The sequence below is a fragment of the Homo sapiens genome, chromosome 5 (assembly GCF_000001405.40).
Source record: "Homo sapiens chromosome 5, GRCh38.p14 Primary Assembly".
Taxonomy (NCBI): Eukaryota; Metazoa; Chordata; class Mammalia; order Primates; family Hominidae; genus Homo; species Homo sapiens.
This window is the reverse complement of record NC_000005.10, coordinates 173,121,858-173,140,712: the sequence shown is the minus strand read 5'-3', so window position 1 is coordinate 173,140,712 and position 18,855 is coordinate 173,121,858. Positions and strand designations below refer to the sequence as shown.

At 39.4% G+C, this 18,855-nt stretch overlaps 1 protein-coding gene across 6 annotated transcripts in view, besides 1 other annotated feature; it reads right to left on the bottom strand.

Annotated features, from left to right (window-relative positions):
• Window positions 1-1,428: 1,428 nt before the first annotated feature.
• CREBRF (CREB3 regulatory factor) overlaps window positions 1,429-18,855 on the bottom strand; it is an 82,933-nt gene continuing 65,506 nt past the window's right edge. For all 6 annotated transcript variants that reach the window (XM_005265821.4, NM_153607.3, XM_011534442.2 and 3 more), the window contains 2 exons: window positions 17,511-17,633; window positions 1,429-7,083 (listed from right to left, as the gene is read on the bottom strand). In XM_005265821.4, the coding sequence (XP_005265878.1) occupies window positions 6,968-7,083; window positions 17,511-17,633 (239 nt within the window). In that variant the 3' untranslated portion in view covers window positions 1,429-6,967. The remainder of the gene's footprint in view (window positions 7,084-17,510; window positions 17,634-18,855) is intronic.
• Window positions 11,432-11,932: an enhancer, noted in NCBI's record as "H3K4me1 hESC enhancer chr5:172555784-172556284 (GRCh37/hg19 assembly coordinates)". NCBI's record gives its function as "activates a minimal SCP1, AML or CMV promoter by ChIP-STARR-seq in naive H9 embryonic stem cells {active_cell/tissue: H9 hESC(naive)}" and the evidence as "EXISTENCE:reporter gene assay evidence [ECO:0000049][PMID:30033119]".

Here is an 18,855-nt window from a genome sequence, read left to right as displayed (position 1 = left end):
CTTAGACTAGCTTTTGTTTATCTGCTAGGTTTTGGCTTTCTTTTTGGTTTTTAGATTCTAAGGCCTTTATCCCCCGCTACAGAGACATCCTTCCAAATATTGCCTGTGACTTGACCTGATCCCAAAGAGATGAATACAAATTATTTCTGTAGTGCAGCAAGCCGACTGGAGTTGAATTGGAGCTCTATAATCATATAAGGTAGGTCTGGGGCTAGTCTCCTCATCTGAGTCTTGTCTCCTGTAAAATGAACATGACCACCAGCCTCATTGGGCGCTTGAGAGTAGCAGCTGAGTTTCCTGTAACAAAAAAGCACCTAGCAGAGTCTTAAGGAATGCCACTCCCTCCCCTAGGGCTTTCTAACACCTTCTTCCTGCTCTGAACCTTTTAGCTGGGATATTATAGCATTTCCCAGCCATTTTCTTTCTTTCAAATTCTCCACTGTACTGTGGCTAAACAGCTCACCAGCTGAATGACCCAGCTAACTGGATGCTATCCACAGGTTTAGTTTCCTAAGGACTATACTGGTCTGGCTCACCCAGCCCTTTAACAGTCTCAAGATCTTGACAGAGGATCCTGTGAGCAGTGGTCTTTAGAGATCAAGTCCTGATGCAGAACCAGTCCATGGGAGGCCATGCCCCTCCCCTTTGCTTCCTGATGGCCTTAATGTCACTCACATGAAACAAAGAGGGTTTCTTCAAGGGTCCAGGATACTAAGAACCCAAGTCTATCAATTCTCTAATACACCACTGGATGTGTCCATGAAAACACCTCAGCAACAATAATGTGCCTAGAGCCCTTTGCATATCTGTAACAGCTCCTGTGTTGTTCTGCAATCCTGTTCACATGCTGGCTCTGAGTTCCTGGAGTTCTCTTTCATCTCTCTATTGTCCAGTACCTAGCACAGGTCCTGGCAGAGTAAGTGCTCAACAAATATTTGCTGGCTGACTTTCAGCCACATACTCTGATGGAAGCCTTCACTTAGGTCTCTGGATTTAAGCCTCTATATATACGCCCAGCTTAGTTTGGAGACTTACTTAGAGTGATTAAACACACAAACACATACAAATGTTTAAATCAGGAGAGACCCAAAATATTTTATTTCCCATGCAGAACACTTGCCCAAAGATTAAAAGAGGAGAAATAAGAATATCCTCTAAGCTGTGAAGAATGCAAATGCTTACATCAACAAATAATTCTATATAATAGCTAAATGTCACTAAAATATTGAAAAATCAACCTATAGTGTCAAAAAAATGTTAGCTCTTTGATTATTACCACGAGAGGGGCAGCAGACCAGCAGTTCACCACTCTCTGTGATTTGGAATTTCTTTGGAATAGGTTATCTTGAGGAGCGGATGGTTACCTAGGTAAGCAAGATATAAGTACAGAAAGGAAGGGCGAAAACATGAGGCAAACAATTCAGAACGTTTTCTTTTCATCTTTTTTTATTTTAAATTACAAAGGATGTTGCATACACTGATGAATCTGTATCTGACTAGAAGTGCTCAGGGGTTGGAAGGTGACAGAAAACAAAGGCAAAATTTGCATTGCCTTTCCATCTGAAATGAAAAACTGCACAACTATTAACCAACATTTAATAGGATAATTTTTAAACAGCTCATGCGTCAACAAGATAAAGTTCTTTCTAGACAAGAGACAAGACTGAATCCAATAAAAAGTGTCATAGCTCCAGTTGGGAGAGAAAAAAAAAAAACTACAGAATATTTATGATAGCATTACAAACAGGATCCTACGCAACTATGCAAAAGAGGTTGCCACATTGTATGAACAAATGCTTTGAATTCTTGCCCTTCCACTCTTCTCTTGTGACTTCTGTGCTGTCAGCCCTAGTATCGCTGTCAACCACAATACTAAGCTGTAGGACAAATCCTAGGGAAAGAAGGTAAAAAAGCAGGCAGTGGAATACAGTGTCATAAAAATGTGGTGGAAAGGCAGATACAGTACACACATACACATTTCTGTTATTTGGTTCTGAAAAAAACAAAGGGCGAAGGGCAAGACATAGTAATCAGTCCTGCTCCTATCCACCCAGAATTTAATTAACTACACCATTGTGTTTACATTGTTATGAAAGAGGCAAACCGAACCTAGTTCACCCAAACTTGGCACATTGAAATACCCAACTTTGATGTTCTTCACTAGTTACCAAGTCTTCAATTCCAAAATACTGTTTGGAAGTAGTTTTAAGGCTCTGTCCCCTCACTACTACCTCCAAAACTCTCTAAACAAAAATGGCAATTTGGCCTAGCTCAGTTCCTAGGTGTAATTTCTACGATTTCAGTCAGTTTATTAAGCATGAGGACTATGCTTCAACACATAATCCCATTTGCCTATGGAAGTGTATAACTTTCAGTAGTACATTTTCATCATCTTTCCCCAACATGCTTATTCCTTAAAACGAAACCACCATTCCTACAGTTGACATTCATTGTTACATCCCAATGTGTTTGAAGTATTAAAAAAACATGGAGTCGTCTTCTCATAATGCCCTTATTAAGATTACAAAGATTACAAAAGAATCCACAAGTATTACGGCACTGTGTGAGACTTATTTGTCATGATCCAAGGGAAGAACAAGACTGCAGTTCTGTGCAAAGTTGTGGAAATGGCCTCAGTTCCATGGGAAATGGTATTCCACAACAGACTTCACTAGAAGGATAATTGAAACCTTTTACTTTAACACTGAAAGCATAATTCAATGCATTCTCAAAATTCAAGTTTCAAGATATGGAGAGATGCTAACATTCTGTTACATAATTAACTAGAAAATACTTGAACAGAATTTTAGGAAACTATATAAAGAAAGGGAACATAAGTTTTTGTTAATTCTTGCTGAAGGCAACTTGAATTCATTTCTTATAACATTAAATCTTAGCAGCTAAATTTTTTTAAATGTGTGGAATAAAGAAAAGCACATCCATTCTTGACATTTTGGTGAATAAACTAACAGCTTTATTAATGAAGGCAAACATCAGATCATTGTATGAATATTATATATATATATAAAAAGAAATCCAAACTAACAGCATTGTATTTCAAAAGTACTGTACTTCTGTTTCTTTTAAAGAGACTTGTCATCTGTTTTTATAAAACAAAATGGGTACTCTTCTCCTAAAAAATCCTGGAAAAATGAAATAGTCAATTTCAAGCTGATGAATTGAACACACCTTTCTTTAAATGCAGACTATTGCTAGGAAGCAAATAAAGTCAAGCATCAGAAAGAAGATGTATGAGAAATGCATGAAAGTCAGAGAAAAGGGATGTAGTGAAATTACTGCTAATCTTTCCCCCCTATATTCAAAGACCATCCAAAACTGGTCTTTCATACAAATATAAAATAACTATAAAGAGAGGGAATTTGAAACCATACCCATCTGAAATCCTTCATGATGCTTTTGTAATAGTTCTGATTCTCTTACCAAAAAGGTCAAAGTTAAAGATGTAGGAAGTGGAAGGGAATGAAGACGTTTAGTTTTAAATGTACAAGTAAGGCACAATATAAAGCCACATCATAATCTGTCATGAAGGATATAGGAAAGGACAAGAATCATACATGGTACAGTAGAACAAGCAATTATATTGACTGGAAAAGTGTGGCACCCAATTCAAAACTCAGACAAGATCTTAACAAGAGCGACTGGACAGCATGCTTTCATATGGAGACAAACTCTATAAAGAATCCAGTGTATCTGAAACTAGGAAAAAAGGTTTTTGTTGGTTTTTTTTTTTTTTAAATCATAGTAGTACTAGAGTCAAAGTTTATAATTGCTTTGGAACAATGGGTTTACTTGAGGTGAATTCACAATGCCTTCACTTAAAAGTAAGATTCTGGACTTCATTATGAGCTATCTGTATACCATGTATGAACACAGAAAACCTTTAGAGAACTCTTCTCTAATGATCTTCACCCAAAAATACATGCCACAATTTTCAAAAACAGAACATGTACAATTGTTGGGGTTTTTACATTACCCTTATAAGATTGGTTTGTGTGATACACTAAACGTATATATTTTAATGACAATAGAGGAAGCAGATTATTACTGGCATTAAAGTACAACCATTTCTAGACGGTTTTAAATGCCACAGAGTCCCCTGGTTAAAATGTAAAGCTGCACAGCTTGCCTATGTCATCTTTATGATAAAGTTAAAACAGCAAGAGGATTTAACTTTCACTCTACATTTTACTGCCAGGTTTTTATATAGATCAAGTATCGCTGCAGCATTCTGACCAGCCCAGATTTAGCAGCAAATGGCAGGAATCATATAAAATGCAATTTTTTTTTAACAAAGTGCTTTTCTAAGATATACATACATATATAAATAGGTACAAAATAAAGTGTCAACATTAAAAAGCTCAACTATTTAAAAGCTTTTAACTATTTAACTTAAGTAGTACATATAAAACACTGAAACTCAAAGATATGGAATCTACTAAACAGATTCAAAGTCTTTTTTTTTTTGAAATGCAAGACCAAAAAATCAAATTCTGGTTTGCAGACAGGAAAAAAGTATCAAAAACCAGAATTCCTAACAGAGCAGCTAGAAAGGGGCAATTTTATAAACCTTATCAGCTGAATATCATGAGGTGATTTTCACCTGATTGCAAAACTGCCATAGTTTGAAACACTTTTCAATTTACCAGACACACTCTGTCAAGACTTCATATACTTCCAACTTGCAAGCCTGTGTTTTGCCTTCTCCAACCTAAAAAGGAAAAGCTTTAAACGATGAACTTACATTCTATTAAACCATCAGACTTGAGCTTATCATCTGTTTAGCGTGAATGTACAAACCAGGTACATTTCCACCAAACACATAGAAAAATCTTGTGCATCACAGTTCAGCTAAGGTGGTAAGACAATCCTTACAATCCTCCTTGGATTTCTTTTTTAAGATGTCAAAGAAGCAGGTAAGCAACATTGTTCATTTGTTACTGGGTGTTCTAGATCAAACCTTCACAAGCTATATATATAGCTTCATATGCTATAGCTTACAAATGGGGTAACAAAGTAAAAGAAAAGAACAAATTATACTTTGACACTTTATAGTCAAAGTATAATTAAAAAAGAAATCCTACAGTGGGTAATGGAGAAATAGATAATTTTTCCAGCAGCTATGCCTGAAATTTTTGGTATTTTTTTCCTTGCTAAATATGCTTTTTTTCTTTTTTTAGTTTTTAAGCCACCAGTTTTCAGAGTTCAAAGCACAAGATTTGAGAATAAAACAGTAAGAGAGACAGGATGGAAAAATCTGTGGGGGAAGGTTTATAATGCTGCCTTGACATAAGAAATTTCTCATCAAGAGGTAAAGCTTGAACACAGTTAAAACACTGACTAATGAAGCTGTTTTATATGAGCAAAAAAGAGCACCTAAAAACTAAATGTGTTAATGTTTCTCAATTCTAGAAACTATAGAAGAATAAGTCACATGTTAAGTTTGAAGAAGCTAGTTTGAAAATACCTGTACAAAAATATAAAAATCTATAAATTGTTTTTGTTTTAGCCTGTGTTGATCTTTGAAAATATTACATGCACAATAATACATCAATCGGAAAAGTGGCAACTAAAGAATTAGATATTTTTAGCTTTTTTCTTTCTTTACATATATATATATACATAATACAATAAAAATAATCTATTTTGTTGTCTGGTGGAAGTATACTACAATAAGCTAAATAAACATTTTAATTTTCAAAGTCAAAAACTATTTTATCAATAGCTTACTAAAATGAAATATATTAAAATTTCCTACAATAAGTGCAGAAATAAAAGACATCTAAATGGCCACCAACTTATCTACTATGGAAGCGAACTAGAGGAACAGCAAAATAATATTTGTATGTATGGATGCTCCTTCTGTAGATAATTGGACCCAAACAGAAATAAAATTCACAGTTCAGTAAGATCCCTAACCCTGACCTTTTTTTTTCTTTTTTTTCTCCTTTTTTTTCATACATTCATACAGTATCATGTAAGCTGTGCAAAACTTTACTTAGACTGGCAGTTTGCCATATCAGTTGCATTTGTCTTTGGTACAAAAAATAAAACAATCGCAATAATGTGCAAGTATTTGTCTTCTTCCGGTCAAGTACCGAAATATGAGTTTTCTAGAGCCATCTTTTTTTTGTTGTTTTTTGTTTTGTTTTTTATACAATACACAGACTCTGTGGCATATATCTACATTTCAACATAGTCCTATATACATTCAAAAAATCTGAAAAAGAGTTGGAACAAAAAAACATTTAAACCCCATAATTTTTCCATCTATATATCTTGTTTTTTCTCATTAGGGTTTTCATCATACAAAATATTACCAGTTTTAGAGTTTCCCCAAAATACAAGGCACAAAGAATATGCTTTTTTTTTCTTACTTGCACAGACATTTGTGTGTGTGTGTGTATATATATATATATATATATATATTTATATATATCATCTTGAGCTCTGACAATGAACATCTAATATGGCCCACAGGCACAAGTGCTGGGTGTGCCATATACAAGTGAGATTAATGGTTGTGGAAAATTAGAACAAAAAGCAATAATTCTAAAAACAATTTAAACCGACTGTTTAAAAAAATGCTTCCTCAATTTTTTTGTGTGGTTCAGAGCATAAATCTGCCACAATACTTGGCATTTTACTATTTCACTCCTCCAAAATGTTTTGCTTTAACAGATTTTTGTAATCTGTACCTAACATTTACTTAAACATATGATTTTCAATTCTGATGCCAGTAGCAGTTTTAATCATGGTTTATGCTCTGAAAATGCAATAATCAAGTATTTTGGATCATGCTTCACTTATGCTACTTAGTTCTTAAAACAATGTAACCTAATTGTAAATGTTTACATAATGCTAACTGACATGCAAAACAGAATGAAAATTTACAATGGATAACGTGACAAAACGCAGACATTTCTGACCAGTGGTCCAATGAGGCTGATTACACCTTTGATGTTGGTATCCTTAATCCTACAAGGCCTCCAGTGGGATTCCCTTCTGCAGTCTTCTCTAACACTTGGTTAACAAATTCTGAGGTTTGCCCAGCAACTGGTAGACCTGAAGAGAAGAATAAAAGGCACATCTAGACACAAAAATGGAAGGCCATGAAGGGAAGGGAAGGAGCTGGTAAAAACTGAGGTTCAGGTGTGGCCCTCAGCTTGATACTGGTCCCAAATGAATTCCCTGGCACTTGTTATTGCAGCTCAGAAAACAATGCTACCCTTCATATTACTGTCTAAAATTTTAAGATTAGAAAAGTCAAACCAAGGATAGCCATGAAAAATCATAAACCAACATTTAAAGTGAGGTAGATGACAAGTGTAACAGTCCAAATAACAGTCCAAACCCAAACCCAAAGGCTGCCGACAGGCACTGCTTCCCACGCCCTGGTTTTTCCCTGTTCTCTCAGCCAGTCTCTTCCAATTACTCTAAACTCACCAAGTTCCATGGGTAGGTTTCACCCATGAAACTGAAAATATAGACCTGAAGGATGTTTTGGGTCATTTTTATAATTACTGGATACAGTTTAAGTTTCCTTTTCTTCATTTAAAAAAGTGAATGAACGAATAAGAAATGTTGGAAGAGAAGAGGGAGAAAGGTGGGAGCAGCATAAGTATGTAGATTTTCTCATCTTCCTCATCTTCCATAGTAAGACCAAAAGATAAAATCACTAAATCAAATAACAGAGGTATAAGTACATTTTTTTAAGTATTAAGAAAAATAAAAAGGATGGAAATAGAAATATATTTGTCAGCTAGGCACGGTGGCTCAGGCCTGTAATCCTAGCACTTTGGGAGGCTGAGGCAGGCGGATCACCTGAGGTTGGCGGATCACCTGAGGTCGGCAGATCACCTGAGGTCGGAAGTTCAAGACCAGCCTGACCAACATGGAGAAACCCTGTCTCTACTGAAAACACAAAATTACCCAGGTGTGGTGGCACATGTCTATAATCCCAGCTACTCGGGAGGCTGACGCAGGAGAACTGCTTGAACCCGGGGGGTGGAGGTTGGGGCCAGCCAAGATCATGCCACTGCACCCCAGCCTGGGCAACAAGAGTGAAACTCTGCCTCAAAAAAAAAAAAAGGAAAGGAACGGGAGGGGAGGGGGAGGGGGAGGGGGAGGGGGAGGGGGAGGGGGAGGAAAGAGGGAGGGGAGGGGGAGGAAAGAGGGAGGGGAGGGGGAGGAAAGAGGGAGGGGAGGGGGAGGGGAGGGGGAGGGGAGGGGAGGGGAGGGGGGGAGGGGAGGGGAGGGGAGGGGAGGGGAGGGGAGGGGAGGGGAGGGAAAGGAAAAAGAATTTGTCGGCTGGGCGCAGTGGCTCACGCCTGTAATACCAACGCTTTGGGAGGCCAAGGCAGGCAGATCACCTGAGGTCAGGAGTTTGAGACCAGCCTGGCCAACATGGTGAAATCCTGTCTCTACGAAAAATACAAAAAATTAGCTGGGCATGGTGGCGGGTACCTGTAATCCCAGCTACTCAGGAGGCTGAGGCAGGAAAATTGCTTGAACCCAGGAGGCAGAGACTGCAATGAGTCAAGATTGTGCCACCGCACTCCAGCCTGGGCAACAAGAGTGAAACTCCATCTCAAAAAAAAAAAAAAAAAGAAATATATTTGTCATTGCTCATAGGAAGAAGTCAAAAGATATCATAAAAAATACTGGCCGGGCATGGTGGCTCAGGCCTGTCATCTCAGCACTTTAGGAGGCCGAAGTGGGCAGAGCACAGGTCAGGAGTTTGAGACCAGCCTGGCCAACAAGTTGAAACCCTGCCTTTACTAAAAATACAAAAATTAGCTGGGCATGGTGGCAGGCACCTGTAATGCCAGCTACTTAGGAGGCTGAGATAGGAGAACCACTTGAACCTAGGAGGCAGAGGTTGCAGTGAGCTGAGATTGCACTACTGCACTCCAGCCAGGGTGACAGAGCAAGACTCCGTCTCCAAAAACAAACAAAAAAAAGTGTGTGTGTGTGTGTGTGTGTGTGTGTGTGTGTGTATACATATATACAAGCTTAACCATGTGATCAAACTTAGCATGACAAATAATGAGACAATCTGATATTATGTGCCTCTTGACTGATGGAATGAAAAGGTTGTATGATGTATTCTTACCAGAAAATCTAACTGCATTTAGTCATGAGGAAACAGATAAATCCAAATGTTGAGACATTTTACAAGACCTGGATTTTTCATAAAAATAAAATAAGATGGGGAGACTGATGTAGACTAAAGAAAACAAAAGAAGAGATATGACTAAATGCAATGCATGATCCTCGACTGGATCACACACACAAAAAAATGCTATAATGGACATTATTGAGACAACTGGGAAAATGGATTCCATATTAGATATTATATCAATGTTGAAGCACTAGGATGTGACACTGGCGTTGTGGCTAAGAGAATGTCCTTGTTTTCAAGCAATACAGGCTAAAATAGTTAGAGACAAAGAATCATGATTTTTACGAGTTATTTTCAAATATTCCCTGTCCAAAATACACATGTAGATAGAGGTAGAAATAAAGCAAATGTAGCAAAATATTAACAACTGGTGAGGGCTGGGTGGGGTGGCTCATGCCTATAATCCCAGTGCTTTGGGAAGCTGAGGCGGAAGGATCACTTGAGCTTAGCCTGGGCAACACAGCAAGAACCCGTCTCTACAAACATAAAAATAAGTTTGCTGCTGGCCACGTGAGCTGGCTCATGCCCGTAATCCCAGCACTTTGGGTGGCCAAGGTGGGCGGATCACTTGGGGTCAGGAGTTTGAGACCAGCCTGGCCAACATGGTGAAACCCTGTCTCTACTAAAAATGCAAAAACATTAGCCAGGCATGGTGGTGTACGACCAGTGACTTGGGAGTCAGCTGAGGCAGGAGAATCATTTAAATCTGCTAGGCAGAGGTTGCAGTGAGCCAAGATCACGCCACTGCACTCCAGCCTGGGAGACAGAGTGAGACTCCATTTCAAAAATAAAAATAAAAATAAAAATAAAAATAAATAAATTAGCTGGACATGGTGGCGCACATCTGTAGTCCTAGCTACTTGGGAGTTGGTGCTGAAAGATCACTTGAGTCCAGGAGTTGGAGGCTGCAGTGAGCTATGATAGCACCACTGCATTCCAGCCTGGGTGACAGAGCGAGACTGGTTTCTAAAAAAAAAAAAAGCAATGAATTTTAAAGAACAGTGAAAACAACTGGTAAATCCAGTTGAACGAAACATATATGTTCATCGTACAATTCTTTCTCCTTTTCTATAGGATTAAAATCTTAAATGAAAAGTTGACAGACAAAATAAGTATACATTTTATGTTACAGTTAAAAGCCAATCCACAAGGTAAAAACACAAAGCTTTGAAAATTATCAGAGGATACAAACAAAAGTGAAACCATAATGGATCATGTAAAGGCAAAAAAAAGGCCACATAAACAAACTCTAGCAGATCTTTTGATGACAGCACTAAAACCAAACATAGATCAATTTTTTTAAAAATGAGCTAAACTCACCTATTAAAGTACAACCTCCAGAATAAATAACAAAAAAAATCCAAATACATGCTACATAAAAAAATCTAGGCCGAGCGTGGTGGCTCACGCCTGTAATCCCAGCACTCTGGGAGGCCGAGGTGGGTGGATCACAAGGTCAGGAGTTTGAGGCCAGCCTGAACAACATGGTGAAACCCCGTCTCTACTAAAATACAAAAATTAGCCAGGCGTGGTGGCATGTGCCTGTAATCCCAGCTACTCAGGAGGCTGAGGCAGGAGAATCGCTTGAACCTGGGAGGCAGAGGTGCAGTGAACTGAGATCACTCCATTACACTCCAGTCTGGGCGACAGAGCGAGACTCTGTCTCAAAAACAAAAAACAAACAAACAAAAAAATCTAAGAAAAAATTTTCTGATATCTGAATTAAAATTAAGTTACATTTTAATTTAACTAAAATGTTTTGTGTGTGTGTATTTTTTTTTTTTTTTTTTTTGAGATGAGGTCTGTCACTCAGGCTGGAGTACAATGGCACGATCTTGGCTCACTGCAGCCTCCATCTCCTGGGCAAAAGCGATCCTCTCGCCTCAGTCTCCTGAGAAGCTGGGATTACAGGCTCGCATCACCATGCCTGGCTAACTTTTTGTATTTTTTTTCTAGAAATGGGGTCTCCTTATGTTGCCCAAGCTGGCTTCGAACTCTTGGGCTCAAGTGATCCTCCTGCCTTGGTCTCCCAAAATGTTGAGATTATAGCTGTAAGCCACTGCACCTGGCTAAAATGTTTTAAAAAGATGTAACTGGCCGGGCGCGGTGGCTCATGCCTGTAATCCCAGCACTTTGGGAGGCCGAGGCTGGTGGATCACGAGGTCAGGAGATCAAGACCATCCTGGCTGACACGGTGAAACCTCGTCTCTACTAAAAATACAAAAAATTAGCCGGGCGCAGTGGCAGGTGCCTGTAGTCCCAGCTACTCGGGAGGCTGAGGCAGGAGAATCGCTTGAACCCGGGAGGTGGAGTTTGCAGTGAGCCGAGATCGCGCCACTGCACTCCAGCCTGGGCAATAGAGCGAGACTCCGTCTCAAAAAAAAAAAAAAAAAAAAAAAAAAAAGATGTAACTAATATAAAATGATTCAGAGGCCGGGCACGGTGGCTCACGCCTGTAATCCCAGCACTATGGGAGGCCGAGGCGGGTGGATCACGAGGTCAGGAGATCGAGACCATCCTGGCTAACATGGTGAAACCCCATCTCCACTAAAAATACAAAAAATTCGCCGGGCATGGTGGCGGGCACCTGTAGTCCCAGCTACTCCGGCGGCTGAGGCAGGAGAATGGTGTGAGCCCGGGAGGCGGAGCATAAGGTGAGCCGAGATCGAGCCACTGCACTCCAGCCTGGGGTACAGAGCGAGACTCCGTCTCAAAAATAAATAAATAAAATAAAATAAAATAAAATGATTCAGAAGGATTGAAAATAAAAGAGTAGACAAAGGAATACCAAACAAATATAAATAATAAGATTAGAAACAATACCAAACAAATATAATAAGAAAGCTGCATTCGTGATAATACCAGACAAGAAGTGTACTTCGTGATGATAAAAACTGTAGTTCATAATGCAGATTTAGTACTAATAAATACTATTCAAACATCCTGACATTCAGAAGCAAAAACACAGAAAATATGAGATGAAACTGAAATACATTACTGGGAACTTTTCTCAGTTCTACACAGAGTAAATGGACTGCCACACCAAAAAAAAAAAGGAAAAAACTTTATTAAAAATACCTAGTCGATATGTGGGAATCTTATTATAAAACAGAAAATACATCTTCTTTTAAAACTCCCGCAGAACATTAAAAATTGTAATCTTATATTAGGTAGCCAAGAAAATCTCAATAAATCCACAAAAAACTGGAGGTCAGTAATAAAACTAGAAAACAATAATCCCTACCTGCTGGGGGAAATTTTAAATCTCTCTCAAAGAATTCTTGGGTTAAAGAGTAAATCAAACCTAAAATTTCAAAGTATTCAGAAAACAATAAAAATGACAAATCAGAACTTATGTCAGAATTTTAATCAGCTAAAGTAGCTCTAAGAAGAAAATTCAAAGGCTGTTATTTATATGAATGGTCAAGAAAGAATAAAAAGAAAAAAATTAAGCATCTAACAACTCAAGAAATTAGAATTGGTAAGTTAAGAGCTGGTTTTGGGGGGGAGAAAGTAGAATAACCTATAATGAATCAAGAAATAAGGGAGAACAGACACAAAATAATAAATGAAAATGGAACAGTAACAACAGATATAGAAGAAATCAAAAATCAAACAAAAATGCTTTGCTCACTTTTAATAAATTTGAGGCCCAGGAGGAAGTAATTTTTCAGGAATACGTAAATTATCAAAAATGACTCCAGAAGAATTTGTAACCTGACAGAGAAATTACCTTTAAGAAAAATAAACTCAGGCCAGGCGCAGTGGCTCACGCCTGTAATCCCAGCACTTTGGGAGGCTGAGGTGGGTGGATCACGAGGTTAGGAGTTTGAGACCAGCCTGGCCAAGATGGTGAAACCCCATCTCTACTAAAAATACAAAAATTAGCCGGGCGCGGTGGCATGCGCCTGTAGTCCCAGCTACTTGGGAGGCTGAGGCAGGAGAATCGCTTGAATCTGGGAGGCAGAGGTTGCAGTAAGCCGAGATCGTGCAACTGCACTCTATCCTGGGTGACACAGCGAGACCCCATCTCAAAAAAAAAAAAAAAAGAAAAGAAAAAGAAACTCAGCTAGGCTCAGTGGCTCATGACTATAGCACTTTGAGAGGCTGAGGCGGGAAGATCACTTGAGGTCAGGACTTTGAGACCATCCTGGCCAAGGTGGTGAAACCCCGTCTCCATTAAAAATACAAAAATTAGCTGCACATGGTGGAACATGCTACTCAGAAGGCTGAGGCATAAGAACCACTTGAACCCAGGAGGCGGAGGTTGCAGTGAGTCAAGATAGTGCCACTGCACTCTAGCCTGGGTGACAGAGGGAGACTGTCTCAAAAAAAAAAAAAAAAAAAAGAAAAAGAAACTCCAACCCATTTAAACTGGTCCAGAGGCAAATTCTGGGAAGACAGCTGTATAGTTGTTGTTATTGTTGTTTTTGAGAAAGGGTCTCACTCTGTTGCCCAGGCTGGAGTGCAGTGGTGCAATCACCCTGCTCATTGAAGCCTTGACCTTCCAGGTTCAGGCTGGTCTTGAGCTCCTGACCTCAATCGATCCTCCCACCTCAGCCTCCCAAAGTGTTGGGATTACAGGCATGAGCCACTGTGCTCAGCCACCACATAGATTTTTAATCTTCATTTCCCCATATAAAAACAGAGCAACTAAATGGCAAAACCATAAACCCATGGAAAACATTTACAAGTGATAAGGTATCCCTAGGAACATTCAAGAAGGTAGGAACAAACTACCAAAAGCTTTAAGACATGTATGGCAACAGCATTATCAATATTTATCAATATTTATGTGGATGGGCCAAAAGGAAGTAATGGACATGAGAACAAAAAAAAATTTCCATATAGCGAATAGGTTACCCACTGGCAAGTACAGCAGAGTCAACTTGAGAACTGCAGCTAACGCTGTGAGGGATTTTCTCCAACCCAATATTGAATACAAGGTGAGTACAAGGAGCCCACAGTCAGAAGTGAAGGGGCCCACAGTTGAGCCTCTGTGAACTCTGAAAATGGACCAGCCAGGACTCTTGCAGGACAGGAGCAAGCCGTGATAAAACAAAAAAAACTGGCCAGGTGCAGTGGCTCAGGCCTGTAATCCCAATACTTTGGGAGGCCAAGGCGGGCAGATCACTTGATGTCAGGAGTTTGATACTAGCCTGGCCAACATGGTGAAACCCCATCCCCAGTAAAAACACAAAAATCAGCCGGGCGTGGTGGTGTGCACCTGTAATCCCAGCTACTGGGGAGGCTGAGGCAGGAAAATCGCTTGAACCTGGGAGGCAGAGGCTGCAGGGAGCCAAGATCACGCCACTGCACTCCAGCCTGGGCGACAGAGTGAGACTCTGTCTCAAAACAAAACAAAAAACCCTGGGGTTGAAATTAACATTGAGCAAGAAAGGAACTAAAGATATGAAACAGAGATGGTCCAAATAAAATGAGGGAGGGAAGCAGAACAAGAAATCTCAGAAAGACAGGTGCCATTTTTTTGTTTTTGTTTCAGAGATGGGTTGCCATGTTGCCCAGGCTGGTCTAGAACTCTTGACCTCACATGATCCTCCTGCCTCAGCCTTCCAAGTGACTGGGATTACAGGAAAAAGCCACCAAACCTGGCGTGCCATGTTTTTTTGTTTTGTTTTGTTTTTTTGAAAAGGAGTCTCGCTCTGTCGCCCAGGCGGGAGCGCAGTGGCACAATCTTGGCTCACTGTAACCTCTGCCTCCTGGGTTCAAGCAATTCTCCTGCCTCAGCCTCCCAAGTAGCTGGGACTACCGGCGCGTGCCACCACACCCAGCTTTTTTTTTGTATTTTTAGTAGAGACGGGGTTTCACCATGTTAGCCAGGATGATCTCGATCTCCTGACCTCGTGATCTGCCTGCCTCGGCCTCCCAAAGTGCTGGGATTACAGGCGTGAGCCACCGTGCCCGGATGCCATGTTTTTAAATGTTAACTGAAAAGCGGAGACTCTGTGAAAAAAGAAAAGCTATTCTGAACCAAACCTTCTTTTAAAAGTTCAGAGGAACTAATTTCACACATATATGAACAACAGAGAAGTATCAAGGTCAGAATCCCACAACTTTTTCTAAGAAAAAAGAGAATAAAAGACATTAAAGAAAATGGCACGATACATGAAAGAACATAAATCAGAAATAGAATAACTAAGAAATAAGGTGACAGAATTCAGAAAATAATTAGAAATACAGGGGAAAATTCCTGAAAGTAAAAGGAACCTAAGATCAGCAAGTAATGACAGCAAATAATGCTTTAAGAGAAACAGAAGGTAAAAAGGAGAAATAATGTTAAAAATGAAGAGATAAAAATGATTCAAGAAAAAGTGACACAAGGCAGGAAGATCATTTGAAGTCAGGAGTTCGAGACCAGCCTGGCCAACATGGTGAAACCCCACCTCTACTAAAAAATACAAAAATTAGCCAGGTGTGGTGGTGGGTGCCTGTAATCCCAGCTACTCAGGAGGCTGAGGCAGGAGAATCACCTGAACCTGGGAGGTGGAGGCTGCAGTGAGCTAAGATTGTGCCACTGCACTACTGCCTGGGTGACAGAGCAAAACACTGTCTCAAAAAAAAAAAAAAAAAGAAGAAGAAGAAAGAAGAAGAAGGAAGAAAGAAGAAGAAAAGAGAAAAGAAAGACAGACGAATACTAAAGATGGGCCAAAAAGAGCCAATCTATAGATAATAAGAGTCCCTACAGAAGAAAAGCAAAGCAAGGGAACAGATCAAACACTAAAAACATTTGAAAGTACATATTGAAAGAACACAGTATAAACATAAAAATGTCAACTAAAAATGACCAACTCTAAGATATAACTTAGCAAAATCACTGGTATTTAAAGAAAAAATCCTTTTGGCACCTAAGCAAAAACAGCAAAGTACTTATAAGGAAAAAATAATTAGTCAATATTGGCTTTTCTTTTTTCTTTTTTTTTTTTTTTTTTTGAGACAGAGTTTTGCTCTGTCACCCAGGCTAGAGTGCAGTGGTCTAATCTTGGCTCACTGTAACCTCCACCCCTCCTGCATTCAAGCGATTCTCCTGCCTCAGCCTCCCAAGTACCTGGGATTACAGGCACCTGCCACCACGCCCAGCTAATTTTTGTATGTTTAGTAGAGACAGGGTTTTACCATGTTGGCCAGGCTGGTCTCGAACTCCTGACCTCAAGTGATCTGCCCGCCTTGGCCTCCCAAAGTGTTGGGATTACAGGCATGAGCCACCAAGCCCAGCCAGTATTAGCTTTTCTATAGCAACACTTTATGCCAAAAGAAAATGGAGACTCATATTCAAGATACTCAAGGAAAGAAAATACGAGTTGAGGATTTTATACCTGGTAAAACTGACTTTCAAGTGTAAAGGAGTACATAAGCTTACCAAACATATAGATGTTTATATTAAAAAATAAAAAGGTAAAAATAACTTTTTCTTGTAATGTTAAATTTCCCCCTGTAGCTAATAAAGGAAGAATAAAAATGCTTTTAAAAATAAAAGGAAAGAAAAGAAAGAAATGCTATGAAAGAATACATAAAAAATTAAAATAGCATCAACCCATTTGAAGAAAAAGTCAAGCACAGAATTAATCCATATGGAAGCAGGAGGTAAGTGATTGCTGAGGAAAATACTGGCGATTAGGGTCTACTCTTCACCTGATTGTTTTCAATATAAATATACTTTTGTTCAAGAAAAACATTTGACCTTTTATTGTGTATATTTAATTTTGGGGGTTTTCGTGGGTCATATAACGCTGGATGCCTTGGATGCTACTGTCTGTCAGTGACTTTCTCCTACAGCAGCTGAGCTGATTCTCATGTCTATGTCTATACTAGCTAGCTCTCTCTTCCCTGTCAGCTCTCAGTTGGCCTGACGTCTAGATCCCTGCCCTCTGATCCTCCCCACATTGTGCAATCTGTTCAGGGATGGGAAACCAGAGAGCCAAGTTTGTGGGAATCCTGTGAAATGCATTACTGAGTAAAACAAGTAAGAATCTCTACACTAAAGTGCAAACTGCAGGCTTGACAGCTCTGGGACCTTTTGTCCTCCATGAAAGGTTAAAGTTGCTAGAAGTTTGTTTTTCTTAAATGTTAAAATAGTTTCATGATTAAGTCTAAATTACAAGTTGTGGTCACCTGCAACACATGTTTATGAACACTAAATCTCAAAAGATAAAACTACTCATAAAGGAGAGTAATTACAATGAGAGCACTTGAGTTTTTCCTTAAACTAAAAGAACTTTTAATATCCCCTTAAATCATACATCTTACACATATTATTAATTGTTATGAATTTATCTCGCATTCTTCTTACCGAGAGTATCTTTAATGAGGATTTCAAGCTTCTGCCCCATGTTGGGTCCTCTCTCATCTCTTGGATTCTGTACCCGGTTTACAATCTCTTGCTTGATGGAGTTGATTACAAACAATAAATTATCTGTAAGACAGAACAAAACACTTGGAATATGTCACTACCATGAAAGACTTTCCTTTTAATTATGTAATAACAGATAATTAAGAAATGGACTGGATTAAGAAAATGTGGCACATATACACCATGGAATACTATGCAGCCATAAAAAATGATGAGTTCATGTCCTTTGTAGGGACATGGATGAAATTGGAAATCATCATTCTCAGTAAACTATCGCAAGGACAAAAAACCAAACACCGCATGTTCTCACTCATAGATGGGAATTGAACAATGAGAACACATGGACACAGGAAGGGGAACATCACACTCTGGGGACTGTTGTGGGGTGGGGGGAGGGGGGAGGGATAGCATTAGGAGATATACCTAATGCTAAATGACGAGTTAATGGGTGCAGCACACCAGCATGGCACATGTATACATATGTAACTAACTGGCACATTGTGCACATGTACCCTAAAACTTAAAGTATAATAATAATAATAATAATAATAATAATAATAATAATAATAATAAAAGAAATAATAGATGACACCAACAAATAAAAAAAATTCTATGCTCAAAAAAAAAAAGAAATGGAGAATGTGTAAGAAAGCATTAAGCAGTAATGATTATAAGCAGCTCCTATACAAAGAAACTGATTTCAAATGATGTGGCACTTGTTTTTTAAAAATATCTCAAGATTAGCCAGGTGCAGTGGCTCACGCCTATAATCCCAACACTTTGGGAGACCAAGGCAGGTGGACTGCATGAGGTCAGGAGTTCGAGACCAGCCTGGCCAAACGGTGAAACCCTGTGTCTAATAAAACCACGAAAATTAGCCAGGTGTGGTGGCATGTGCCTATAGTCACAGCTATTCCAGAGGCTGAGGCAGGAGAATTACCTGAACCCAGGAGGTGGAGGTTGCAGTGAACCAAGATCTTGCCACTGCACTCCAGCCTGGGCTAACAGAGCAAGACTCCCTCTCAAAAAACAACAACAACAACAGCAGCAAACAACAACAACAACAACAAAACCCTCAAGATTACTGGGTATGCACTTTTGATAACACACTGTAGCCAGGTGTGGTGGTGTGCACCTGCAGTCCCAGCTACTTGGGAGGCTGAGGCAGGGGAATGGCTTTAGCCCAGGAGTTGCAGGCAGTTGCACTAGGATGGTGACTGTGAATAGCCGCTGTGCTCCAGCCTAGGTACCACAGTGAGACCCCATCTCCAACTAAAAAAAATGG